Consider the following 13,904-nt stretch of genomic DNA (forward strand, 5'->3'; position numbering starts at 1 on the left):
CATAGGAAGGGGACATAGCTCCTGCTAACAGCCTGCCAGGCCCTTCGTGCTGCGTCATCAGGGCAGTTTTGCTGCTGAAAAGTAGGGTGACTGTCTGCTCTGGTAGAACTTGAGCCATTTGCTCAGAAGCAGAGGTAACCCCTGATCTCTGCTGCCAACTGGAAACGGTTTTGTGTGCCTTTTGGTTGTAGTTTCACAGGCCCCCAGGTTCCTGTGGTACCCATGATGAATAAAAAGCAATGTATGATTTCTGGGACAATTAAGCTTTATTTTTCATATATATATATATTTTCATATATATATATACATACATATATAAAGGAAACAATTTGCAAATTTACACACCTGACAAAACCATATATACACACATATGTATGCATACACACAGACAGACACACACACCCGAAGCTCTAGCCAGGCCCGTTTTCCATCCCTAAGTACCATTCTCTCATTTGGGCCCTTCTAGGGTTGGGGCCCTGAGCTTGGTTTGTAGAAGTTTGGTGCTAATATAACCATAGCTTTAATCCCCATGAAGGACAGTGTAGACCTCATCTTTGTCTGCTCCCCGCTGCCTTTCAGTTTTACGTGATCCATCAAGAGGGCTATGGGAGCCAAGTGAACACGGGGGATTGAGGCTAATTCACCTGAACTCGAAAACAGCGCCCAGCTTCCTCACCGCAGGCACGTATCTTTTCTTTTTTTTTCCTCGAGACGGAGTCTCGCTGTGTTGCCCAGGCTGGAGTGCAGTGGCACGGTCTCGGCTCACTGCAAGCTCCACCTCCTGGATTCATACCATTCTCCTGCTTCAGCCTTCCGAGTAGCTGGGACTATAGGTGCCAACCACTACGCCTAGCTAATTTTTTTTTGTATTTTTAGTAGAGACAGGGTTTCACCGTGTTAGCCAGGATGGTCTCGTCCTGACTTTGTGATCCGCCCGCCTCGGCCTCCCAAAGTGCTGGGATTACAGGCGTGAGCCACCACACCTGGCCCCGGCACGTATCTTTTAAGGAATGACACCAGTTCCTGGCTTCTGACCAAAGAAAAAATGTCACAGGAGACTTTGAAGAGGCAGACAGGAGGGTGGTGGCAGCAACACTGCAGCTGCTTCTGGATGCTGCTGGGGTGCTCTCCGGAGCGGGTGTGAACAGCGCACTTCAACATGAGCAGGCGCCTGGCTCCGGTGTGTCCTCACTTCAGTGGTGCACCTGGATGGTGGAAGCCAGCCTTTGGGGCAGGAAACCAGCTCAGAGAGGCTACCCAGCTCAGCTGCTGGCAGGAGCCAGGTATTTACAGCCATAATGTGTGTAAAGAAAAAACACGTTCTGCAAGAAACTCTCCTACCCGCTCGGGAGACTGGGGCTCCTTGCTTGGGATGAGCTTCACTCAACGTGGAGGAGATGGTGGTGGACTGGTCCCTGAAAAGCGGGCCTTGCAGGGCCAAGTGAGGTCCTCAGGTCCTAACCCAGTGGCCCTCTGAAAGGGGGTGTGCAGGCGAGGGGAGCAGGAGGCTTCTCTCTAGTCCCTTTGGAGGCTTTGGCTGAGAGAAGAGTGAGCAGGGAGCTGGGAATGGTCCAGGCAGGGAAGGGAGCTGAAGTGATTCGGGGCTAATGCCTCAGATCGATGTATTTCTCTCCCTAAAAGTGGGTAGAGGAGAAGAGGGGAACACGGAGACGGTGCTGAGTTGAAGGTGTGAGCACCGAGAGGAAGGAGAGATGGAAGCAGAAGCCGATGAATTTGGTGGGCAGCGTTGGGGAGGAAGCTAGGATGGGCATGGCAGGCCAGGGAAGGAGGGCGGCCCCCGTCTGACTGCACTGGTGAAATGGCCACACCCAGAGCCACGGGCATTGGTCAGGAAAAGGTGATGGGACAGGGTCTTTCTCAGTCTTCCTCCAAGCTCCCTCAGCCACTTGCTTGGCCCTGCCATCTGTGAGTAGTGTTAAGAAGGCAAGATGGGGCCTGCTCCCTATCTCTGACAAAGAGGGATGAAGGATAGAGAGAACCGTTAGTCCCTACTGCCCCCGGTCCCTGAGGATGTGGCAGGCTCTGGCCACAGGAACCGCCTCCTACCTGGTCTCCCGGAGCCCTCTTGTCACCGCTGCTGCCCTGCAGGAGGCCCATCTCTTCTGGGAGCTTATCTGACTTAACTTCAACTACAAGTTCGCTCTTACGAGACGGGGGTAGCGTGCTGGGAGGAGGGAGGGAGGTGAGAGGTTGGTATCTCAGGGCCACAGGAAGAGAAGGGCCCGCTGTGAAGGATGTGGAATGGATGAGGGCTCCTTGCTCCAGGGCCAGCCCAGGGCAGGGAAGCAGGTCATGAGACCATGTGGCTGATGGAAGCTGGGCAGTGGGTAGTGGAGCAGGCAGCACCCTGACCCAGGGCCCCACTCCTGCTGTCAAGGGGCAGGCGGGCGCTGGGCAGGCAGCAGGCTGGGTGGCAAAACGGGCGGGGGCGGAGGGGCCGGTGTTGGGCTTACATCTCCTGCTTCCCTGAGCGCCTGCACGGCAGCTTGCCCTTCTTATAGAGGAAATAGAGGACAGCGCCCAGCACCGCCAGGACCAGGATGCACACAATCACAGCCACGATGACCACGCCCCGGCTCTCCGGCTCCGGCAGCTTTCTCTCTGCGCCACAAAGACACTCCTCGTCACTCCCTGCCCCAGGCCACTTCGTCACCATCGTTGGCCCAGCCAGTCCAGGGCCGACAAGATGGGGCTGCTACTCACCTTTCTGGACAGGGCTCTCTGGGGAGGGACAGGGCAGAAAGGATGCCCTGGCACAGCCCTGTTCTCTTGCCAGGCCTGGCTTACCTGTGGAGGTGCTGTTGGCTCTGGTATGAGGACTGGCAGTGGAAGTGCTGAGGCCAGTGGTTGTGTTGGAGTCTGGTGTGAGGGTGGTTAAATTGACTAGGAGGCAGAGGGAGGGGTGTTAGGAGAAGCGCAAGTTACTGCCCGTGCCTGGGCCTGCCCCTGCCATCCCCTGCAGGGATGCAGCCCTCACCCAGCTCCAGGAAGAGGATGCTGGTGTTTTTGCCCAGGTCGTTGGAGGCCGTGCATTCAACACCTGTCTCCAACAGCTCCGGGGTCACGAGGACATTCAGGGTGCTCAGGACTCGCTGTGGATCTTGGTCTTGTTCACTTGCCTGCGAGGAAAGGAAGGAGGCAGCTCAGGGGATGGGGAGGATCTCTGGTCCTGGCCACAAAGCGCAGGCAGGGATTAGGAGAGTGTGGCAGATGAGACACCCGCTCACCGTGCCGTTGACGTTCCAGGAGATGGTGGGCCGGGGGTGCCCTGACGCTTCACAAGACAGATTCAACACCATATTCTCTTTCACCCACACCTTCCTCTCCTTGAATGCCATCCAAGGGGGGCCTTGGGGAGGTAGGGAGAGGTGAGGTGGCAAGCCCAGCTAGCCTGCCTCCCCCTCCGCACCAGAGCTCCCCAGGGCAGCAGGTGGCTTTTTGTCAAAGAGCTTAAAAACCACCCCACTTGGGGTGACCTGGTCTCTACCCAGAGGGAGGGCCTCACCAAAAATGGCCACGTTGACCAGCTGTGTGCGGTTCAGGCCGGGTATGCTGGGCACAGACGCCACGCAGCGATAGCCGCCTCCTGCCTCCCGTTTCAGGTCATGCAACTGAAGCACAGGCCCCCTTTCCAGCACCTGGCCTGTCTGGGATGAGAGATGGGTCAGAGGGTCTGGGAAAGAGCACATTCTTGTCACCGCCAGCCCCACCCACCCCATCAGCCCCTTGCCCCAGACCCGCCTGGGTACCTCTTCTCTCAGCCACTGGAACTCGAGGTCCTGGCTACTCTCTGCCTCACAGGTCAGGGTGAGGCTGCTGCCTTCCTGTCTCTCAGGGGCTGCGGGACTCACTCGGACGTCAGACACATCTGGGGGTACAGCAATCATGTCACCCAGGGCAGGGTGGGGCCAGTTCCCTATTGCCCCAGCCTGGTCCCCCTGTCCTGGGTCCCCAGCCCCTCACAGTTCACCAGTAGTTCCTGTGGTTCACTCAGCAGCGATATCATGGTGTCCAAGTCCAGGCCCTGACATTCATAGCGCCCACTGTGTTCCTTCCGGGCAGGCTCCAGCACCAGGACCCCGTTGTCGTTGGTTGTCTCTTCCTCTGCCTCCCTGGTGCTGGGGTTCTAGGGAGGATTGGGGAGGTGAGCAGAGTGCACCTCCCGCCACTCCACCTGGGTCTCTGCTTGCATCCCCACCTGCACCCAGCACAAAGCCCCCACACCTGCTTGCTGATGCTGAAGTGTGGTGGAGGGTTGCCATCAGCCAAACACCTGATTTCCACGCGGTCCCCTTCCTTCAGCATTCCCACGGGCTCCACTTCCAGCCACACTTTTTCTGTCGGGTCTGCATAGGCAAAGGGGGTAGCTCTTGGCCCATGAGTCAACCCTGGGCTGGATAAGGGGGAGCCAGCAGGAGTTTCCAGCAGCCCCAGCCCCAGTAAGCAGAGAGTCAGGTTAGTACTCACAGAAAACAGGGACGGTGACTTCCCTGGACTCCTTCATGTGGTTCCCACTGGGCAGCCGGTAGTTGAGCTCACAGTAAAACTGGGCATCTTTGTCTTCTTTAACCAGCTGTGCCTTCAGAATACTCTGCAAGGTGTACAAACCACTCGACTCCACAGTCTGGGACGACTGAATGTGGACCCCTGGGCAGGGAGGAAGGGGAGGAAGACTCAGCCTCAGCCCCACCTCCAGCCCCACCCTAGGGTTGTCCACTGGGGTTGGCAGGGGACCATCTAAATAGCCCCCTGTCCCCTGTAGAAGGCCAGGTACAAATGCAAGCTGGAAACCCTTCAACCCAGCACTTTTACTGCTCAGTGTCAACCCTAGAAAAACATTTTCATGTCTGCTCATATCCAAGGATGTGTGCAAAGAATGCTGCAATGATAAAAACGAGCAGCCGTCTAGATGTCCACTAAATGGGGAATGGTGAACTCGACTACCTGCTATGCGTAGTATGGAAAACTTGGCAGTAAGCAAAACGATCAGTTGATCTAAATAGACTGACCCAGAAACATTGTATAAAAGAAATTGTCTAACAATGTATACCATACACCACCACTTAGACCAGGGTTTCTCAGCACTACTGATAATTTTTTTTTTTTTTTTTTCAGACAGAGTTTCACTCTTGTTGCCCAGGCTGGAGTGCAGTGGTACAATCTCGGCTCACCGCAACCTCCACCTCCCTCCCGGCTTCAAGTGATTCTCCTGCCTCAGCCTCCTGAGTAGCTGGGATTACAGACATGCGCCACCACGCCCGGCTACTTTTGTATTTTCAGTAGAGATGGGGTTTCTCCGTGTTGGACAGGCTGGTCTTGAACTCCCGACCTCAGGTGATCCGCCCACCTTGGCCTCCAAAAGTGCTGGGATTACAGGCGTGAGCCCAGCCAGCACTACTGATGTTTTAGGCCACGTTGATTCTTTATTGTGGGGGCTGTCCTGTGCCCTATAGGATGTTAGCAACATCCTTGGTCTCTCTACCTACTAGATGGCAGTAGCACCCCCTCTATGTGTGACAACCAAAAATATCTCCAGACATTGCCAAGTATCTCCTAGGAGGAGGGGGTACAAAATCACCCCTGGTTAAGAATGACTGATTTAGATAATAAAACACAGAAGCCTATATCATTCTAGAAATATTTCTATATATGAGCAAATACATAGAAATAGGCTTGAAAGAACACACCCTGATAGCAGAGATTATTTCTGGGAGGGGGGGTCTCAGGCAAGAAGAAACTTCTAGATTTTTTGTCAGTTTAAATTCTCATGAAAATATTTTCAAGTACCATTTGTATAATTTTTTTAAGTTAAAAGCTTAATGAAAATATAAGGCAGTTCCTGTGTAGTACCATAGGGACAGCTCTTTTTAAGAGATGGGGTCTCGCTCTGTCACCCAGGCCGGAGTGTGGTGGTGCAATCCTAGCTCACTGCAGCCTTCATTTCCTGGGCTCATATGATCCTCCTGCCTCAGCCTCCCAAGTATCTGGGACCACAGGCACACACCACCATGCCTGGCTAATTTTTTTATTTTCTGTAGAGACAGGGTCACCCTATGTTGTCCAAGGTGGTCCTGAACTCCTCACCTCCAGAGATCCTCCTGCCTTGGCCTCCCAAAGCACCGAGATTACAGGTGTGAGCTACCACACCTGGCCCAAGGGTGGCTTTTGGGAGAAAGGGCTACTCACGGTTCTTCTCCTCCTTCAGAGGCCGGCCATTCTTGTACCAGATGACTTGAGGAATGGGGTACCCGTTCCTCCCTACACAGGTAGCGACCTAAAGAGCACAGGGTGTGAGTCTCCCTGCCTCCGAGCCCCCTTCAAGCCCCATCTCAGCGGCTGCGCACCAGCTGCCCAGCCCACCTGCCACACATCTCACCTCCTCAGGCTCCTTACTGTTCACAGGGATGCCCAGGGGGTTGACCTGGATGTTTGGCTCCTCCGGAGCTTCTACAAGAAAATAGAAATGAGGGGGACATCTGGCCACGTCCCACCACCCTCACTACCCTGCTGGCAGACACAGGGTCACGCACTGTAGACGCGGAGCTGGATGCGGTACTCCTGGGACCGAGGGCGCTTGCCCTGGCACAAGAAGATGCGCTCGTCTTGGGGGGTGACTTGAGTCAGGGCCAGAGTAGCCCCTCTGTCCTGGAGGCTGAGCCGCTGCTCGTACTCCCCAGGTTCGCTCTGGCCCTGGCCCTGGCGCACACGGAAGATGAGCGTCCGCTTCTCCTTGTGGACCTAATGGGAGGAGACACAGAGGAGGAGAAGGGTCCTGGGCTACAAGAGGGGCAGAGTCTCCCTCCCCGGGCTGCTCTTGCAGGAGCCCAAGCACTCACAGAAAACCAGTCGACATGGCTGAGGTTGCCTTGGGACTGGGAGAGGCCGCACTTCAGAAGGGCTGTGCTGCCCACTTCCACCTCCACCAGCTCAGGCGCAGGCTGCTCAGCCTCTCCGGGCACACCTGGGGGAGGGAGGCGGGGCCCCCGCAGCTGTGTCAGCTCCGGCTGCTGTCCGCCCCTCCCCTCGCAGCGCTGCTGCAGCTGTTTTTCCTGCCACTCAGAGGGTCTGCAGAGGGCCCTGTCCTCTGAACGCTCTACCCCCACCCCGACCCGCGCCCCACCTGGGCCAGCCCTCTCCCCGTCCAGGAGATCCCAGGTCCTTGGAGCCAAGCAGAGATTGAGCAGAGACTGAGCACCGAACAGCTCCAGCTGAGGCTGGTAGAGGGGCAGAAAGGGGCAACCTAGGCTCGGGGCCAAGAGGAAGGCCCCTTTCCTTCCAGGCCCCCTCCTCTCCGGGTGAGCTCAGAGTGTGGGAATGCAAAGCATGTGCCAGGCTGGGGCACACAGGCCCTTTTGTGTCACCACCGCCAGGGGAAGACACCACTGCTCTATCCTCTGCCCTCCAAAATCCCTGCCCTCACTCCCCAGCGGGCTAACTCTGGCGGAAGTTCCGGTCTCATGCTCCCTCAGCAGCACCTCCATGAACACTCCGCACACACCCGCGGACCCCACCCTAGGTAGCTGGTAAGGATGGAGAGGTCAGAGTCTCCCCCAGGGGTCAGGGCAAGGGCCAGGCAGTGGGCAGGAGTGACGTCAGTGGTGCCAGCGTGCTGCCAGCCCTGTGAGGAGGTGATGTCACTCGACACCATCTGCCTGGGCTCTGGGATGCCTGGGTTGTTACCTTGGCTCTCGGACAAGGAGGGCAGGTGGAAGGTGGGGTCTCCAACCCAGAGCCTCAGACCCCTGACTCCTCCCAGAGCTAGAAGAGCAGGGCAGGGTGGAGCTGGACCGGCTGCAACTGTGGAGCCCGATTTAGCCCTTTCCCCAGAAATAAAGTCAGCCTGGGAGGCAGTAGCCTGGAATACCCCAGGGACATGGTTGGCACTGGGCATGAGGCCAGCGAGCTGGGTATTGCCTAGCCCTCCCCTTCCCCAGCCGGACAGCGGCTGGGACGGCGGAATGGGAGCCAAGAGAAACACGCGACACCGCTGCGGGCCATACAAGGGCAGCGTGGACCCGAGAGCGCCCTGCTACCAGGCGGATCCGGAGAAACGCTCCGAGGTGCCCGGGCGCACTTCCCACCTGAATGTGGTCCCCAAAATAAGCCAGCGGGCGCTTCCAGTATGGGAATCCTCCATCCCTCATCTCTGTCCCCTATGATCCCATCACTCGGGGAGGCGCGAGGCGACCCACACCGCCCCGCAACCCCTGCCAACGCCCAGCTCGGGCGGGAGCCGCCGAACCTCCCGCTCTCGCTCACCTCCAGCCTGGCGTGATGCCCAGGCAGAAGGGGGAAGGGGTGGGTCGGCGCACCCCCTCCAGCGAAGGAAGCTGCCTTTTCCAGCAACAGGCGGGCGCGGAATTCAGGCTTTGAGGATGCGCCCCAGCTGCGCCTCCTGCCCGGCTTCAATTGCGGGCCCCCAGAGTGAGCACCTCAGGGACCACCCACCCCCCAGCACCCCGAAAGGCTGAGCTCCACCCCTTCTCGTTCCCAGAAGCAGCCTCCTCCCCGCCTTCCGAGTGCTGCTCCCGGGATACTCTAGAATCCCGGCTGCAAACTGGCTGCAAAGAAGAGTTGCTCGCGCGCAAGGCGCCCGGGGATCGGGGACCCAGGGAGGAGGCTCGTCCTCCCAGACGCAACGCCCCGACCCCGCCGCGCCGCTGGCTCTGCTCCCTGGCACGCTCCACCGCAGACCCCTAGCCGGGGCGCGGCCCCCCTGCGAGCGAACTCACCCGCGACGCGAGGACAGCAGCAGCAGGCGGCGAGCAAGAAGGCGCAGACCAGCCTGGGAAGCCCCATGCTTCCCGGCCGGAGGGCGAGAGCCAAGTGAGCAGCTCGAGGCTGCCGGGGGCTGACGTCAGGGGGGCGGGGGAGGGGGCCCGGAGCGCCCGGGCCCGCCCCGCCCCGCGCAGCCCCCAGCCCCCGCCCCGCGCGCCGCAGCCCTAGGGGGCGGGCCCCGGCGCCGCCAGCCCGGGAGCTGCGCCTAGGAGCGCTGCCGGAGGTAGGCCAGAGCCGGACTCCCAGGCTCCTGGCTTGGGAAGGCTGAGGGGGTAGTGACAGGTGTCTCGGGGTCTGACTGGCCGAGGTGGCAGCGAGGAGAAGCTGTCCCGGATGCCCGGAGTCGCCCCGGGTCGAAGCCAGCCAGGCTCACCGCTGCTCAGCCCCTGCCAGCCAATGTAGCCCCTAGGGGACCTCCTGGGGGAGGAGCAGTAGCGGACCTGGTCCTCGGTGTCCCCAAGGGGCCTCCCACTTGGGCTCCCCTCCCTTGCCACAGAGAATTCAGGCCGGCCTCTATCGCTTCCCAGAACGATTGCACCACTGCCGCTGCCGCCGGCCTGACACTGCCTCAGCCTCAGTGCTGGCAGCTTTGGGAGAAGAACCCTGCGCCAGTCCCACAGACCCAGAAGTACCTGTATGGGGAGTGCAGACGATGCCTTCTGGGCTGTCCCTTCAAACGCAAGCTCCTGCAAGTCTAGCCTTTGACCAGAGAAAGGAAGGAGGGGGCTGAATTCGCAGGCCCAAGGTGTTCACACTTGTCCAGACCTGGGCCTTGAGAATCATGTTTCTTCCCTCTTCACTCTGGAGCCTACCCTGGAACTCAGTTTCCCCTCACCTAAGAGAAAGAAACAGGGAGAAGAAAGAGTTAATGGGCGAGGGTCCCCAGCCTGACCCTGCAAACCTGTTGCTGTTCCTGATGATTGAAAGGATCCCGGCAGCGCTGATCTTCCCCCACCCCATGTCTTCCCCAGCCCTATTGATTGTGGGTCCATAGCTGAGGGAAGAATCAAATCAGACCTGCTTGGGTGGGGAGCTCTGCAGCTCCCCTTCTCCCAAAACGCCGGCTTCTCCCTGGGTCTTCTGGCCTCTTGAACTAAGGCTCTAGGGAGGGGGAGGTGCTCTTGCCTCACTCTGACCCCAGCAGCCTGGCCTCAGAAAAGGGGTCCACATCTGCTGGCGCGCCTCCACCAGGGAGTGCCAAATAGGGGCCTGGATTTGGGTAGAGGTCTGTTGCCCAGCGGGGCCACCCCTTTGCTCGCTGGGGGAGGTGGAGGGTGAGCCAGCAAACCCTGGAGATGGCCAGGTGACTTGAGAGCATGCTCCGGGGTGGCGTTTTGATGACGCAGAGATGACTGGAAAACCACACCAGGCTTGTCTTTCAGAGCCTTCTCGACCCCTCCTCCAATGCCATTAGTCTCCAGCCAGAGGCTGTGCAGAGCCCAGGCCCACCGGGCCAGGGGCCTGGAGCCTGGAGCCTGCAGGGAGAACAAGAGGAGGACGCTGGCTCGCCCTCCAGAGTGAATGTATGGACTGGCCCCAGGCCCAGAGCTGACTAGATGAGAATGTTTTGTCTGCTGGGCTGGAGTGGGAATGGCTGAAGGATGCCGTTTGCCCTGGCAGGCCCGGCTGGGCATGGAGCTGGCTTCCCTGCCCAACCCCCTTCCTTCACTTAACACCATTAACTAATCATTCGCCTCTCTGGCCTGAAAACAAAGCCAGCTAACCACCAAGGACAGTCAGTTCTGAATTCTTCTTCCGCTGGAGGAGAGTGAAGCCAGGTGGGGGTGGAGGATTTGTCTCTGCGGTGAAAGGGAAATGAGGTCAGAGCCTAGAGCCCAGGGTGACGTCCCTTCGCATTGCCCCACCAAACAAGCACAGAAGACTGTCCTTTAAGGAAGCCAGTAGCCTGGGGCTGTCTAGGCTGCTCGGAAGTGGGTCATAGCCTCAGGGGACAGATAGCTTTGGGATGGTTTCATGAGGTGGGCACTTTGGGATTCCAAACTAAAGACGGGTCAGGACCTCGGAAAGGACGCAGGAGTGGAGGCAGGGAGCAGGGTGGAGGGAGCGGAAGGTGAAGGGGATCAGCCCTCAGCTCTTCTTAGAGGCCAGAGGCTAGTGCTCCGGCAGCCCCAGGGGAGAGAAGGTGGCTGCGGGACTTCCAGCAGGACAGGAGTGACAGCCAGCAGAAGGGAGTTGGAGGAGGAGGCCACGGCCGTCTACCCTGCAGGGACCCAGCACCTGGACTGGGTTGGAAGAGCCTGGCTCAGATGTAGGCCAGGGCCAGAAGAGGCCCTGGGGGCAGAGTCCTAATTCTTCTTTTTTCCCTCGTTGGGTTGCAGGCAAGAAGGCTGCTTTCCTCCAGCCCCATGGTGGACCTGGGCCCCTCACACATGAGGGGACCCTCCTGCGCATAATGCCCTCTGCGTGTCTCTGGTATAGGTCTGACCACAGGTGGAGAAACTGAGGCCAGGTGGGGTGGGGGTCCTGGTTGGGCTCCTCAGCCACAGTCTCCTGGATGGGTGGAGCTTTCAGCTCATTGTAAGGAGAAGTGGAACCCTGGGGAGTTGGAGGTAAAAAGACAAGGATGGACCTGTCCCCAGAGGCCATGAAGGGGCAAGACTGGAACCCAAGTGTCCTCTCTCAGCTCCAGCAAAGGGAACTTAGCGACTTCTGACCCACCCTTCTGGATCCAGGGGCCTTGACCAGGATGTGAGGATATGAGAAGGGTGGGTCAGAAGTAGCTCGAGGAAGGAAGCTGATAAAGAGGTGTTTGCAGCTGCTGTGAGGACATGGGGTGGGAGTCCCAACAATCTTGGCAGTTACCGAGACTGGGGAACCCCCTGGCCAGGCCAGATAATAGGATCCGGCCTGGGTCTTTGGAGGGGGTGCGGAAGTTGGAGAATTTTTCCAGAATGTGGGTGTGAGTAGGAGAAGATTATACTGAAGGAGTGAAAACAGGGTGGAAAAGGGTAGGGGGCAGGAAACCGGATACTGTACTGGGGGGTGGATGGAAGATGTGGGGGAAGAGATTGAATCGGGGGAAGCAGCCCTGCTCCCGCCGGATGCTGTCTCACCCATGTCCTTCGCACCTGACCCAGGGCAGGAGGAAGGAGGCACAGCCGGGATGGAGGTGCACCCCACACCACCATGGGAGAGAGGGAGGGTGGCCTTCTGCGGGATGGGAGGGGCTATTTTTAAACTTGGAAAAACCGTGAGTTCATCTCCATTCTGGAGGCTGCAAAGGCCCCATTGTACAGGGGTCTAGAGAGGGGGAGCGGGGGGAGGGGGCGACGGGCACAATGGCGAGGATTATGTTGGAGCAGGCAGGGGGGTGGAGGGCGGAGAGCGGGGGAGGGGCTGTCTTCGTCACAGATGGCCTACTGAACTCTGGGGTCGAGCCAGGCTGGGGCTTGAACTGGGGGGCAGGGCCCACCCTCACAAAGATCCCCGTTGGGGAACTGGGGTCTCTGACATCCGGTGGCCCATCCTGGGGAGGGGGCTGACGGTGGGATTCCCACAGCCTGGCTTTCCCAGGGACCGCAGGGTCTGTTCCCAGGCTCCCAGCATTCCGACGACTCCCCTGAGAGCTGCTGGCCTCTTCCCTCAGCCCCTTCCCTGCCAGGGGGTGGGGGGAGAGAAGGAGAAAGAGGATGTGGATGCATCGGGACTCCTCCTGGGGATGATGGACTCTTAAGCCAGAGGCGGGGGTTGGGTGGGCAGCAGTGGGTGGTTAGGGTAGGTTGAGCGGGATCGGAGTCCCCAACCCCGCGGACCCCTCCTCCGACCGACTGGGACTGTCCCTCTCGTACCCCCCGGTCTTAGGAGCCTCCGCACGGGGGCCAGCCCACCTGCCGGACCTCAGGCCTCCGGCACCCAGGGCCTCCACCCAGGGGACCCGGCCGCGGCGGGAAGGCGCCGGCGCTAAGCTCCCCAGGAGCCGGCCTCGAGGTCCCGCCCGGCGGAGGCAGGGGGCGGGGATCCGGCCGCTCGCCCCAACCCAAACATTACCATAAATGCTCAGGCGGCTGCGGGTGGATGGGCGCGCGGGGAGCCTGGGGCTCTCCGGAAGCCCCAGATCCAGTCTCCAGGCCCGACCCAGCGCGAGCCCGCGCAGTGATTCGGTCTGACCAGCCGTCCCCTTTACAAAGCGGTGCAGCCGGGGATGGCAGAGCTGGGGTGGGCGCGGGGACAGGGTGGAGAAAACCCAGGCCGCAGGGGGCGTCTCGGGGCTGCCTCCTGGGTAGGCAATGAGGCTGTGACCTCTGGTTAAAGAAAGAGTGGGGCCCTCTAGCTAGATGGCAGCGTCGGCGCCGCGGGGAGGCGGCTCTGTCTCCCTGCAGCTCTGCGGGCCCCGCTGCTGTCAGCGGTGACACCCTGGGTCTCGGTTCCCCGGCCCCAGCACCTAATCCCCTTCCCTCTCCTCTGCCCCCAGCCTGCACCTGGGGAATGAAGGGTGATGGGGGCGGAGGGTGGTAGCAGGATGCTGGGAGTTTACACCTCTCCCCTTCAGGGAAGTTCACATCCGCTCCCCAGAATACCACCATCCAGGGAGAGGAATGTCCCCAGAGAGCTCTTCAAATCTGACTTTGAGTCGTCACTGAGGGGAAGGCCGGCTGGTCTACAGGAGGGGGCCTGTGGGAAACCTGGGGGCGCCATGTTGAGGTCTTCTGGCCCCTCTCCTCCCTGAAGGACGCTCCTGCAGTTCCTCTTCCCTGCCACACGGGGCTGCCAGCATCCCAGGGGTAGCCCTGGAGAAGGGGAGCCTTGTTCCATCCCATCCCGGCGATGCCTGGGACCCTCACTGCTGCTGCCAGGGCTGATCTTGGAGCCGGGAGTAGAGAGGGGAGGAAAGAGGCTGGGCGCGGTGGTTTATGCCTGTAATCCCAGCACTCTGGGAGGCCGAGGCGGGCGGATCACGAGGTCAAGAAATCGAGACCATCCTGGCCAACATGGTGAAACCCCATCTCTACTAAAAATACAAAAATTAGCTGGGCGTGGTCGCGCGCGCCTGTAGTCCCAGCTACTCGGGAGGCTGAGGCAGGAGAATTGCTTGAACCCAGGAGGTGGCGGTTGGAGTGACCCGAGATCACGCCACTGCACTCCAG

General features: G+C 59.5%; 1 protein-coding gene and 1 non-coding gene across 6 annotated transcripts, besides 6 other annotated features; both read right to left on the reverse strand.

The window, feature by feature from the left end:
• On the reverse strand, positions 248-8,849 carry MCAM (melanoma cell adhesion molecule). Of its 5 annotated transcripts, none has more exons than XM_017017759.3 (16): positions 8,754-8,849; positions 6,858-6,982; positions 6,552-6,759; positions 6,398-6,468; positions 6,208-6,295; positions 4,489-4,668; positions 4,246-4,367; positions 3,985-4,147; positions 3,771-3,889; positions 3,527-3,668; positions 3,249-3,370; positions 3,062-3,140; positions 2,809-2,904; positions 2,475-2,622; positions 2,068-2,185; positions 248-1,634 (listed from the first exon to the last, which is right to left on the reverse strand). In XM_017017759.3, the coding sequence occupies exons 1-16, from the start codon at positions 8,818-8,820 to the stop codon at positions 1,605-1,607; spliced, it is 1,878 nt and encodes a 625-aa protein (XP_016873248.1). In that variant the 5' UTR covers positions 8,821-8,849; the 3' UTR covers positions 248-1,604. The 5 variants fall into 5 exon arrangements, with proteins under 5 accessions (XP_016873248.1, NP_006491.2, XP_016873251.1 ...); NM_006500.3 differs by having other exon boundaries at positions 2,999-3,140; XM_017017762.3 differs by lacking the exon at positions 2,068-2,185.
• On the reverse strand, positions 4,669-4,731 carry MIR6756 (microRNA 6756). The gene has a single exon (NR_106814.1). It is a non-coding gene; the product is annotated as a microRNA 6756 (primary transcript).
• Positions 6,840-7,535: an enhancer, noted in NCBI's record as "H3K4me1 hESC enhancer chr11:119185831-119186526 (GRCh37/hg19 assembly coordinates)". NCBI's record gives its function as "activates a minimal SCP1, AML or CMV promoter by ChIP-STARR-seq in primed H9 embryonic stem cells {active_cell/tissue: H9 hESC(primed)}" and the evidence as "EXISTENCE:reporter gene assay evidence [ECO:0000049][PMID:30033119]".
• Positions 9,128-9,187: a silencer, noted in NCBI's record as "silent region_3977". NCBI's record gives its function as "represses an Ori minimal core promoter by ATAC-STARR-seq in GM12878 lymphoblastoid cells {active_cell/tissue: GM12878}" and the evidence as "EXISTENCE:reporter gene assay evidence [ECO:0000049][PMID:35858748]".
• Positions 10,429-10,478: an enhancer, noted in NCBI's record as "active region_5629". NCBI's record gives its function as "activates an Ori minimal core promoter by ATAC-STARR-seq in GM12878 lymphoblastoid cells {active_cell/tissue: GM12878}" and the evidence as "EXISTENCE:reporter gene assay evidence [ECO:0000049][PMID:35858748]".
• Positions 12,432-13,057: an enhancer, noted in NCBI's record as "H3K27ac-H3K4me1 hESC enhancer chr11:119191423-119192048 (GRCh37/hg19 assembly coordinates)". NCBI's record gives its function as "activates a minimal SCP1, AML or CMV promoter by ChIP-STARR-seq in naive H9 embryonic stem cells {active_cell/tissue: H9 hESC(naive)}" and the evidence as "EXISTENCE:reporter gene assay evidence [ECO:0000049][PMID:30033119]".
• Positions 12,556-12,995: a silencer, noted in NCBI's record as "silent region_3978". NCBI's record gives its function as "represses an Ori minimal core promoter by ATAC-STARR-seq in GM12878 lymphoblastoid cells {active_cell/tissue: GM12878}" and the evidence as "EXISTENCE:reporter gene assay evidence [ECO:0000049][PMID:35858748]".
• Positions 13,058-13,683: an enhancer, noted in NCBI's record as "H3K27ac-H3K4me1 hESC enhancer chr11:119192049-119192674 (GRCh37/hg19 assembly coordinates)". NCBI's record gives its function as "activates a minimal SCP1, AML or CMV promoter by ChIP-STARR-seq in naive H9 embryonic stem cells {active_cell/tissue: H9 hESC(naive)}" and the evidence as "EXISTENCE:reporter gene assay evidence [ECO:0000049][PMID:30033119]".

This window comes from Homo sapiens, chromosome 11, assembly GCF_000001405.40.
Source record: "Homo sapiens chromosome 11, GRCh38.p14 Primary Assembly".
In the NCBI taxonomy this organism is placed as follows: domain Eukaryota; kingdom Metazoa; phylum Chordata; class Mammalia; order Primates; family Hominidae; genus Homo; species Homo sapiens.

Coding starts and splice junctions, on each gene's coding strand:
- MCAM (NM_006500.3), bottom strand. CDS start 8,820: ATGGGGCTTCCCAGGCTGGTCTGCGCCTTCTTGCTCGCCGCCTGCTGC. Junction 6,296..6,397: donor ACAGTAAGGAGCCTGAGGAG/GTGAGATGTGTG, acceptor TGTGCTCTTTAG/GTCGCTACCTGTGTAGGGAG. Junction 4,148..4,245: donor ACTTCAGCATCAGCAAGCAG/GTGTGGGGGCTT, acceptor AATCCTCCCTAG/AACCCCAGCACCAGGGAGGC.